This window comes from Homo sapiens, chromosome 4 (assembly GCF_000001405.40).
Source record: "Homo sapiens chromosome 4, GRCh38.p14 Primary Assembly".
Taxonomy (NCBI): Eukaryota; Metazoa; Chordata; class Mammalia; order Primates; family Hominidae; genus Homo; species Homo sapiens.
In genome coordinates, this window is record NC_000004.12 from 151,324,625 (window position 1) to 151,337,170 (window position 12,546).

The 12,546-nt window shown below is 43.5% G+C and overlaps 1 protein-coding gene across 4 annotated transcripts in view; it reads right to left on the reverse strand.

Moving 5' to 3' along the window:
- The window catches only part of SH3D19 (SH3 domain containing 19), a 205,325-nt gene extending 204,344 nt beyond the window's left edge, over positions 1 to 981 (reverse strand). For all 4 annotated transcript variants that reach the window (NM_001378131.1, NM_001378128.1, NM_001378122.1 and 1 more), the window contains exon 1: positions 617 to 981. Coding sequence is in view for 2 of the 4 variants with exons in the window: in NM_001378122.1 (NP_001365051.1) it covers positions 617 to 728 (112 nt within the window). In the remaining 2 variants the exon portion in view is untranslated. The remainder of the gene's footprint in view (positions 1 to 616) is intronic.

Consider the following 12,546-nt stretch of genomic DNA (forward strand, 5'->3'; position numbering starts at 1 on the left):
CATAAAAGTAATTACAGGCCCGAAAATGATTCTCAGCCCAAATGAATGGCCTTTTGGAATGCTATATTCTGGACTTCTCTTTGCGTGGGGGAGGGTCTCACAACTAACGAAAACAAGTCCTACAGAAAACTGGTGAGCTCGGCGGCTGGGGGAGGGAGGGAGGGGGGTCACAGGTCCGAAGTGCAAGGGACGCCGAAACAGGACTTGCCTCAGTTATGAGCACGTGCTCTGACCTGGCTGCGGCGGCGCAGGCAAACCCCTCGGAAGGTGTCGTTGTCCACCGAGACGGCCATTGACCTCTGACTCATCCAGAGATAAGTCATCAACCAGGCCACAAGTCCCAAGCCAGCAGCTCCTGGATTTAGTGTGCACGGAAAATTTGAGTTTCAGCTGTACGACCACTAGCAGTTAAAGACGGGTCTGAATTTCCTCGGGCTCGGCCGGAAAGTGAGGATGGCGATGGAAATGCCACCCTCCCCGAGTCTGGCCTCTGAGAGTTAAAGAAGCCGGTCCCATCCCGGCGCGTGAAGGAGCTGCCGCTGTGTGGGGCAGGACCCGAGCGGCCCCAGAGCGCGCAGCTCTGGGTCCCCGCCGCCCCGTCCCCCGCGCCTCTCACCTGCGGCCGAGTGGCCCGAGAGCGCACGGCCCCGGGCGCGGCGCTGGCCACCAAGTTCGCGGCGCTCGCGTAGCTCTTCCTCCTCGTCCTCCCGCCGCCGGCCCTCAGCCATGGGCGAGGCGCGGGGCGCAGCCGCGGGATGGCCAGCGAGCTGCGGCCCCGGCGCCCCAGAACGCCTGCACCCGGCGCCCCACGCCACCGCCCTCGGGCCGGGGGGAAGGCGGCTCCCGGAGAGGAGGCGTCGGCGGCGGCTGTGGAAATGGCCACCTCCGCGAACTCCACCTGCAGCCGGCCGGGCAGCGGCAGGGCGCGGGCCGAGCCGATTCCCCGCCTCCTTGCGGCGTCCCGGCGGCCTCTTAATCCCTGGCCTTTCCCACTCCCACTCCCGCTCTCTTCCCCCTTCCTCTTTGCCTTCCCCGCCCCGTAGAGCTCCACCGCGGATCGGGCGGGTTCGGGGCTGGCCTCGCCTCCTCAGGGAGGGGTTATCGGCCCCTAAGGCCGCCCCACAGCCACACACGCTGGAAACACCAGCTCGACCCAAACAAACGTGTGCAAAATAAATAAACGGGATAGGAAGAGGGGAAAGAGGAGGTGGCCTGGCCTCTTCCTGCCTTTTCACGATATTCCAGTGTCAACAGGAAACCCATTTGTTTGACACTTAAACAAAAAGAGGAGGAACCCGACCGGGGCCGAACTGGGAGAGATGGGACAGCTGGGAGCTGCTGAACTTTGGAACAAACTTGGCTTGGAGTTGGGTCGAGCCTCTGCAATGCACACTTTTTTCTTTCCCTCTCTTTTCGCCCTTAAAAACCTAGACTTGCGGGAGCACAGAGGATTTTTAGGGCAGTGAAACTACTATGCGTATGATTCTGTAATAGCGGATGCCTTTGTCCAAGCCCAAAGAATGTACAAAACCAAGAGTGAACCGCAATGTAAACTATAGACTTTGGGTGATTATGAGGTGTCAATGTGGGTTCATCAATTGTAGCAACTGTGGCACTCTGGTGGGGGATGTTGATAATGGGGGAGGCTATGCATGTGTGGGAGCAGGGGGTACATGGGAAATCTCTGTACCTTTAGCTCAATTTTGCTGTGAACCTAAAACTGTTCTTAAAAATAGTCTAGTAAGACTGGAAGCGGTGGCTCATGCCTGTAATCCCAGCCCTTTGGGAGGTCGAGGCGGGCAGATCACGAGGTCAGGATATCGAGACCATCCTGGCTAACACGGTGAAACCCCGTCTTTACTAAAAATACAAAAAAAAAAAAAAATAGCCAGGCGTGGTGGCGGGCGCCTGTAGTCCCAGCTACTCGGGAGGCTGAGGCAAGAGACTGGCCTGAACCCAGGAGGCAGAGCTTGCAGTGAACGGAGATCGCACCACTGCACTCCAGCCTGGGCAACAGAGCGAGAGTCCTTCTCGAAAAAAAAAAAAAGTCTAATAAAAATGTTTAATAATAAATCAAGCCTCACTGTATTCCAGTTCATTTAGGGCTAGGATATGGCTACAATTCCTAGAAGAACAGGAAGAAATGTGTTAAAGAGACCCATACGTGATTATTTGTAGAGAGGCAACTAGGGGAAGTGGAGAGACCACTGGCTCTGGAGTCAGAAACTGTAATTTGAAGCACTTAGCTGTGTGAGCTACCCCTAAGAAAGTTTTTCAAAGCTGGAAAGAACCGTGTAACCAAAGTTGTGTGTACCTGCACAATACACATCTTAGGTTCAGTAGGTGCACGTACTTACTTTCACACAGAGAGGAAAAGATTCTGGAATTTCACCAAAAGATACCCAAGTAGCAGGCAGAAATATTACCTGGACATGAAACCTTAGGAAATTCCTGAGTGCGATGAACAGGCCTTTATCTTTGGCGTCTTGCTCTATTTCTGAGAGATTACCAAGAGCTCCTAATGTTCAGCAAGTAGGAGAGAAAAAGAAAGGGAGAAAAGGGTCACTGAAAATAGAATTGCCTGCCACACCTGAGTGCTGTTTCTTTGCCTTTTCAATAGTGGCTGTTGCCGCCTGAGAAAATCTTTCCGCTTTTAAGCAGATAAGAACCACAATCGATTCTGTGGAATTGAGGTCAAATCCACAAGTTAAAACTTTATTACTGCATAAGCGATTAAATAAGTAGACACTTAGAGAACTGGAAATTAAGCCAACAACAATAAAACAAAGGTTCTGGACCTTTAGGGTTGTTTTAAATGTTTGGTAAGTGAAACCTTATTTGTCACTTCCCTTCAAGGATGAATAATTTAAAAATCCCTACCTTGACCAACAGTACCATTTCATTAAGCCATTGGAGTCAGTTTCTACTGTCATTGAGTCTTAATTTTTTTTTTTTTTTTTTTTTTTTGAGACTAGAGTCACTCTATTGCCGAGGCTGGAGTGCAGTGGCACGATATCGGCTCACTGCAACCTACGCCTGCCGGGTTCAAGGGATTCTCCTACCTCAGCCTCCCGAGTAGCTGGGATTACAGGCATGCACCACCACGCCCGGCTAATTTTTGTATTTTTAGTAGAGACGGGGTTTTACCATGTTGGCCAAGCTGGTCTCAAACTCCTGACCTCGTGATCCACCCACCTCAGCCTCCCAAAGCGCTGGATTACAGGCGTGAGCCACTGAGCCCAGCCATTGAATCTTAATTTGGAAAGGCGTGAAAGTTGTTCTGGGTTTCCCAGCCAATTAGAGCTTCGGGAATCCACATTTTTGTGGTGGGTGGGTGGTGCATGCCCAAGCCCACTCTACAATTAGCAAACATTTATGGTAACTGTTGTGTGCCAAGTACCACTCTAGGTGCTGTGGGGAGACTCAAAAGAAGGAAAGAAATATCCATGATCACATCCTATGGTAGGTGCTTTTCACATATGTCTTCTCATTGCAAAAGAACAAAACATGTTCCCTGTCCTCCAATGAGAGAGGAAGGTCTATACAGTTTACACAAAACGAGACAAAACTTGGTAAGTTCTTCAATAAAGATATAACTTTGGACAGGGTGCCAACATAATTCAACAGGGAAGGAATTGTCTTTACAACTGGATATCCACATGCACATGAATGAATTTGAGCCCCTATTTCATTCCATATGCAAAAATTAACTCAAAATGGATCATAGACCTAAATGTAAGAACTAGAACTATAAAACTCTTCGAAGAAAACATAGGATTAGATCTCTGTGACCATGGTTGAAAAAATAATTTTTTGGATGTGATACCAAAATACATAAATATCAGAAGAAAAAATAAATTGGACTTAGCAAAATTTAAAACTTTCGTGTTTCAAAGGACACGATTATTAAAGTGAAAAGACAGAAGGGGAGAACATACTTTCAAATCATATATCTAATAAGGACCTTATATTCAGAACATATAAAAAACAACAATAGTTGTTTAAAAACCCAATTAGGCCGGGTACAGTGGCTCACGTCTGTAATCCTAGCACTTTGGGAGGCTGTGGCGGGTGGATCAGGAGTTCCAGACCTGCCTGGCCAGGAGTTCAGGAGGTCAGGAGTTCCAGACCTGCCTGGCCAACCATGGCCAACATGGTGAAACCCCATCTCTACTAAAAATACAAAAAATTAGCCAGGCACGGTGACGCATGCCTGTAATCCCAGCTACTCAGGAGGCTGAGGTAGGAGAATCACTTGAACCCGGGAGGTGGAGGTTGCAGTGAGCTGAGATCCCGCCATTGCACTCCAGCCTGGGCAACAAGAGTGAAACTCTGTCTCAAAAAAAAAAAAAAAAAAAAAAAAAAGATGAACTTTGAAAACATTATGTCAAGTTAAAGAAGCCAGAGACAAAAGATTCCTATGATCTTGTTTATATGAAATGTCTAGAATAGGCTAATCTATGGAAACAAAATGTAGGTTAGTGGTTGCCAGGGGAGGGGAGAATGGGGAGTGATGGCCAATGGGTATAAGGTTTCTTTTTGAGGTGATCAGAATATCCTAAAATCAGAAGTGGTGGTGGTTGCACAATTTTGTAAATATAAGGGATACATTTTTGGTACATGAATTATATCTCAATAAAGCTGTTTTTTAAAAAAATATAACTAGCTCACTACAAAAGCACAGAAAACAAACCAGGGAGAGGACTGCACTCTGAAGTCATCATATTGAGGAAGACAAACCAGATAGAAGTTACAAGCCAGAACAATGTAATTATATGAAAGCAAACCAAAGGTGCGGCCAACTAGTAACTAAATAAACATGCTCAAACATCCTACCCACCCAAGTGACACAACAAGAGCCAAACCCATAGAAGGAAAGTGATAAGAAACTTGGAATGAAAATTTACATCCTAAGAGTAAAACAAGATTCACCCTCAAAACTTGAAGGTATAAAAATTTTTTTTAAGAGATATTGAAAAAGGGCCCCCATTTTAAAAGACAATGTTCTTGGTTTCTCACTTTAGATATATAATCTTACATGAAGCAAAATGGTCTGCAAATAGAACACTACAAAAAATAAGAATATACTATATAAATATATACGTGATGCAGTGTTTAGCAAATAGAAGCACAATAAATATTTGTTTAATGACTGAATGAATATAATTCCAATTTTCTCTTGCTGAATCACCAGAAGGCATGAGTCGCAAGGCTTTACACTTAAAAAGTAACTATCTGGAGTTAAAAGTTTTCAGTTGAAGACTTCAATGGAGAAATAAGAAGGAAGAACAGGGATATACAATGGATTTTAAAACTACAGCATCTCCAAAGTTTTAGCTCTTCACGTAACAGAATTTTAAGATATATTAAAGTAGAAGAGTGAGTCCATGAGTGGTTATTATGTTATTCTCCATATTTTCTATTTGCTTTTAATTTTTCATTTCAAAAAAAATAAAAGCAGGCTGGGTTCCATGGCTCATGCTTAAGGGCAGGAGTTCAAGGCCAGACTGGGCATCATAGAGAGATCCCATCTCTATTTAAAAAAGAAAAAATTAGTTGGGCCTGATGACATGTGCTTGTAGTCCCAACTACTCAGGAGGCTGAGTTGGGAGACTGACTGCTTGAGCCCAGGAGTTGGAGGCTGCAATGAGCTAATTATGCCACTGCACTCCAGCCTGGGTGACAGACTGAGAACCTATATTAAAAATAAAAATAAAAATAAAGGAAAAGCTAAAAGTACAGTATAATAGATTGAGATAGCTATAGTTTCTGTTTGTCCAGTGCTGTTTGTCCATAGTTTCTGCTTGTCCACTATAGTTCTGTCTGTCCACTTTAGGAAATTCTCCCTGTGGCAGATTATTGCAAAACTGTTCCAAAATCTTTATGCCTCCCTCTATTTATACATTTCTAATGTACATTTGCATCTTCTTCATCAAGAAGTGGTTCCAAATTCCAGCTACTCAGGAGGCTGAGGCAGGAGGATCACTTGAGCCCAGGAGTTTGAGGCTGCAGTGAGCTATGATTTTACCACTGCACTCTAGCCTAGGTAGCTGAGTGAGACCCTGACTCTAAAAAGTAAACACAAAAAAACAGGGTTCCCTGTATCCATGAAGCCAAGCTAGCCCTGGCATTTGCTTTGGCCGACTAGAATATGGCAGAAAAGACAGTGTGTGAATTCCAAGTCTAGACCTCAAGAGGCCTTGTTTGCTTCAGTTTGTTCTCTTGGATGATGTATTAGTCTGTTCTCTTACATTGCTATAAGGAACTACTGAGACTGCATAATTTATAAGAAAAGAGGTTTAATTGACTCACAGTTCTGCAGGCTGTGCAGGAAGCATGGCTGGGAAGACCCCAGGAAACTTAAAATCATGGCAGAAGGTGAAGGGGAAGCAAGTATATCTTCACATGGCCAGCAGGAGAGGGAGATAGAGAGAGAGAAAGAGAGAGAGACAGAGAGAGAGAGAGATGGATGAAGAGGGAAGTGCTACACACTTTCAAACAACCAAATCTCATGAGAACTCACTATCATGAGAACAGCAAGGGGGAAATCTGCCCCCATGATCCAATCACCTCCCACCAGGTCCTTCCCCCAACATTGGGGATTACAATTTAACACGAGATTTGGGTGGGACACAGAGCCAAACCATATCAGATACCTTCTACCACCATGTGATCAAGCCAACATGAGCCAACTAAAGAATGCAACACTACATGAAGGAAAGGCCAGTTGTCCCAGCTGAGGCCATTTAGACCAGCATGCAGCCAACCAACCCCCAAACATGTGAAAGAACCCAGTTAAGATCAACAGAAATGCTTATCTAACCAACAAATGACCACAGACACATGACCCAACTAAGACTAAAACCACTGCCACCTGGCCTGTAAACTTGTATGTGGTAAGAAGTGCTTACTGTTTTATATCAGTGAGGTTATGTGATTGTTTGCTATGCAGCATGTGCTGGTTTGGGATTCTCCAGGAATCAGTGGGCTGAAAGAGAGTTCTAGTACAAAAGTTTAGAGGGTTAACACCTGTGAAAGGAGCAAGGGAGACAGAAAGATTGGTCAAGGGGAACTGTCATACCACTATGCAGACCTGACAAAGCCTCTGCTAGTCCAACAGGAAGCTCTAGAATAAAGATCAGAATTCCACTTTTAATGTAAATGGGTGGGCCCTTGAATCACCACCTTGCTGAGTCATTGACTTAGACTGCATGAAAGCTGAGGCAGACACTGTGGGAGACACAAAGAGATGTGCCACTCAAATCTCCCTCCAACAAAGCCTTGCTGCCCAGGTATGCTGGATATGGTATGCTATGTCAGTATGCTGACAGTCCCTAGCTTCAGTGTCTGCCTCAGCTGTCGTGCAGATCTGTTCCTTGTATCATGAAAATCTACTTTTCCATACATGTTCAGGAAATAGCTCAGGTTACCCTCCATCACCACAGTTGGTCTCAGGGCCTCCAGTATAGTCTCCCTTCTCCACACTCCATCTAAATTCCTCTTGCCCCCCAGCCACCACCTCTGCTGGTCTTGGTGGCTTATCTAGTGGTATGACTCAAACATTCATTATTGAGTTTTCTTAGCCCCTAGTGATCATATCCTTCTCAGGTGGGAGTTGCTTCACTTGTCTGTTCACAGTTATGATCTATCAAGGGAGAACCAACAACCAAGAAGCACCCAAATGGGTCATCTTGAGTTCCACACACATGTCTCCTGTTCCCGTTGTGTAAGATCAGTCTTCCACTGTTGATCAGAGTTATTATTTCTGCCAAGATGGTAAGTCTTCTTACCTGCTGGCCCCTAGCCACAAGAAACTCAGTGCCCAGAGGGCATCCATAATTTGTAATCAATTGGACCTTAGCTGCATCCTCTGGTGAGCATGTGCCCCTGCTGGCAACAGGACCTCTAACCTTATGGAGCCCCGGAAGCAAGACGTCCCCAGTAGGCCATTGGGAGTGATTGTAACTGCAGCCAATCCTGGGTCCACCCCTCTGATTCCAGATTTACAGATTCTGATTGGAGATACAGCACCATGTAAAGGTCTCTGATACAATGTGTATACTGCATTCTGGAAGATTAAGCTCCATATTCTCAGGGTATTGCCTCTGACTTTGCATTTCATTTATGTCTTCAGCAGGAATACACATATATAAACTAGAGGTAAGAAGTACAACATATAAAACATTTTTTTTTTGAGATGGAATCTCACTCTGTTGCCCAGGCTGGAGTGCAGTGGCACGGTCTTGGCTCACTGCAACCTCCACTTCCCAGGTTCAAGCAATTCTCCTGCCTCAACCTCCTGAGTAGCTGGGACTACAGGCGCACGCCACCACGCCCTGCTGATTTTTGTATTTTTAGTAGAGACAGAGTTTCACCATGTTGGCCAGGCTGGTCTCAAACTCCTTGACCTCATGATCTGCCTGCCTCAGCTTCCCAAAGTGCTGGGATTACAGGCATGAGCCACCACACCCAGCCAAAACTTTTTAAAGTAAGTGTTATTTCACCCATCAAAAGCAAATCTATAAAGCATGTGAACATAAATTCTAAACTTCTTAAAGTTACATTCATAAAACCAGTTATTATTAGTCCTTCCCCTCAAATAAAAATGAACAGTATATTGCAAAATCAAGACGAGGACTCTTAAGAGCTGTAGCTTCAGGTTCTAAATATAATAAAACACCTGCAAATGTCAAAAACGAGGGAGCATTTCCTTATTCCTTCATTTTGAAGAGTTATTCAGACTCATCTAAAAAAGAAAATGTTAATGACACATCTGAAAAAAAAAATGTTAATGGTTTATATAGTGACCTAGAGCTTCTAACGTTCTTAGAAAGTCATGTCAGGTCAAGTTTTAATCCTTTTCTTTCACTATTTTTCTTTCTTTCTCTTTATTCCTGTCCATCTTTTAACTTCAAGATTTTCCCCTTTCTTCTTCCCTTCCTTTCAGTTTGCCTTTACCACTTTCTCTTTATGCCTCCTTGGCACTCTTTGGTTTTCTTAACTGCTGTGTGCCTCAATTTCTTCATCTGTAAAATGAGGATGATAATAATAATAATAGCTATCTCACAAGAAAATTGTAAAGATTAAAATGAGTTAATATACTGTATTGGTTTGCTGAGGCTGCCATAAAAAAAGTACCACTAACTGAGTGGCTTAAACAACTGATATTTATTGTCTCATAGTTCTGGAGACTACACGTCCAAGATCAATGTGCTGGGAGGGTCCTGTTCCCTCTGAAGTCTCTGGGGAAGGATCTGTTCCAGGCTTCTCTTCCAGCTTCTGGTAGGTCCTTGTCTTTTGGCAGCATAACTCAAATCTTCACATGACGTTCTCCCTGCATGCTTGTCTCTGCATCCAAATTTCACCTGTTTATATAGACACCAGTCATATGGGACTAGGGCCCCACCCTATTTCAGTATGACTTTATCCTAAATAATCACATTGGCAGCAACCCTATACCAAATAGGGTCACCTTCTGAAGTACTGGGACATTAACATAGGAATATTGGGGGAACAAAATTCAACTCATGATATATACATAAATCCCTTAGAACAGCTCCTGGCATATAAAAGCACCACGTAAGTATTTGCTATTTATTGAATACATCCTGTACGTGCAGCCCTGTGTGAGATACTAAAGATATAACAGTGAATAGACACAGATCTGTCCTTAAGATCTACCATGGATAAGATCCATGGTAGATGCAGGGTGACCAACCATCCCAGTTTGTCCAAGACTGATGTGTGTTTGGGAGGTTTTGAGACACAAGACTTTCAGTGCTAACTCCATAAAAGCCCCAGGTAAACCAGGCCAAGTCATTCACCCCAGAGGTGAACAAGATAGGGAGGATATACTCTTAGAGGGAACACAGAAGAGGCATTGTGGCAAAAACTGCTAGTTTCCCCCAATATCTGTTTTCTCCTTGGCATTTGGCGGTCAAGAATAGAGACGACATTCTCCAGTGTCCCATGGCATTATGCACGGCCATGGGATTATGTTCTGGCCAGTAGGAAATGGTACATATGACTTTACAAGAATGTATTGAAGGGAAGAGGCATTCCTTCTTTAGCTCTTTCCTCTGTTGACTAGAATTTGGATGTAATGGCTGGAACCAGAGCAGTCATCTTGGATCACAAGAAGAAGGCCAAATGTTGAGAAACTGAAAAAAGACTGGACTCTTGATGATTATGGAGAAGGCATATCTGCTATGGACCTCATACTTCTAGACTTCATTTATGGGGGAAAAAAAGAAACTTCTACTTTTTAAAGATATGGTTATTTTGTGTTTTCTGTTACATACTTAATATAATTCAAAGTAATACAGACATTAAATTCTGTTTTAAACAGACATGAAGGGAGCTAAGAGGGAAAGAAAGTGTACCAAACAATAGAAACCGTGTATGTCACGCTTGCAACAAAAAGAGAATCTGGGCCGGGCACAGTGGCTCACGCCTGTAATCCCAGCACTTTGGGAGGCCAATGCGGGCAGATCACAAGGTCAGGAGATCAAGATCATCCTGGCCAACCTAGCAGATGGGGTGAAACCCCATCTCTACTAAAATACAAAAAATTAGCCAGGAGTGGTGGCGCACGTCTGTAGTCCCAGCTACGCGGGAGACTGAGGCAGGGGAATCGCCTGAACCTGGGAGGCGGAGGTTGCAGGGAGCTGAGATCACGCCACTGCACTTCAGCCTGGAGACAGAGCAAGACTCTGTCTTTAAAAAAAAAAAAAAAGAGTCTAGAATAACTTTCGGTCTTATAGAGTGGACTAAATTATTACAAAATATCTCTAATGAATTGAGGGAAATCTCCAAGGGCCAAAAATAAATAAGGAGCTAAACCAGAGTGTCAATAATAGCTGGCACACATATGATGCCATTCTAAGTGTTTTACATAGCTCAACTCACTTAATCCTAACAAAAACTCCATGAGGTAGATACTGTTTGTATCATCATCTTACAGAAAAGAAAACTGACATAAGAGTTATAGAGATATAATGATAAGATACAATGAATGTCCAACCAGAATTCTAGAACGGAAAAGAGAAAAGAACTGAGGAAAGGCAACATTTGAAAACATAATGACTGAAAATGGTCCAGAATTAATAAATGTCATGAATCTTCAGATAAATGAAGTGCGATGAATCTCAATTTGGTCTCTAAAATAATGCTAATACAAAACACAATAGCTAAATTTATTCAATACTTAAGAGTTAGGTACTATTTTAAGTACATTACATAAATTATATCATTTAATCTTCACAGCAACTTTAAGGGATAGTTCCTGTGATTATTCCCACTTTGCAGAAAAGGAAACTGAGGCACAGAGAAGTCAAGTAACCCTCCTAAGGACACAGAGCCTGCAAACAATAGAGCTGGATTCAAACTCAGACAATTTGATCCCAAAGAAGGCACTTTTCACATCACTTCTTTGCAAAATCTCCTCTGGGGGACAGCAAAGAGTTTGGGATATTTAAGTGGAGCAGACCAAATGGCAATTAAAGGTATAGGTCTTTTCATTGTCCAATAGAACTTCCTGTGATGATGGCAATGCTCTATATCTGTGTTGTCTAATGTGGTAGCAAGGAGCACATTTACTATTGGACACTTGAAATGTGGCTAGTGCAGCTGAAGTGCTAAATTTTAAATTTCATTTATTTTTAATTAATTAAAATTTAAATTTAAATCCCTACATGTGACTGATGGCTACCATATTGGACAGCACAGGTTCAGAGCTAGTGCAGAAATCCAATTTGAAGGCAAGGTTAATTCACTACTCCTCTTGACCTCATACTGAAATAGCTGGGTGCCTCCCAATTTTAGATGAGAAAAACTAATAAACTAAAGTTTCTTCTTAAGCAAGGAATAGTCAAAAAATTACCTTTGAATAGCTTTTTATTTATTTATTTTTTGAGATGGAGTCTTGCTCTGTTGCCCAGGCTGGAGTGCACTGGTGCTATCTTGGCTCACTGCAACCTCTACCTCCTGGGTTCAAGGGATTCTCCTGCCTCAGCCTCCTGAGTAGCTGGGATTACAGGTGTGTGCAACCATGCCTGCTAATTTTTGTATTTTTAGTAGAGATGGGGTTTCATCATGTTGGCCAGTCTGTGGTCTCAAATTCTTGACCTCAAGTGGTCTGCCCGCCTCAGCCTCCCAAGGTGCTGAGATTTACAGGCATGAGCCACTGCACCTGGCCCTTTGAATAGCTTTTAATTGCCTGTAAAGAACTGTATATATATTTTGTTTATGCCACCATGTCAGGTAATGTGTATGTGTAGTGTATGTAGGAATGTTTAGAATTAGGAAACATAAAGAGAAATCTGCAAAGGCGTGAAAAGAAGTGTCCAGTGAGGTGGGAGAACCAAAAAAGGAGGCTTTTCATTAGGCAACGTGAAGAATGTGTTACAAGAAGAGAGTGCATTCTGTCAGATATTGCTGATAGCTTATTGAATGGGATAATCAAGGTAAGGTTATTGTTCATGCTATTTAAATTATTGTTCTCTCCTTTCTTTTCCTCTAGTACATATAGTAGAATACAGACAAGTT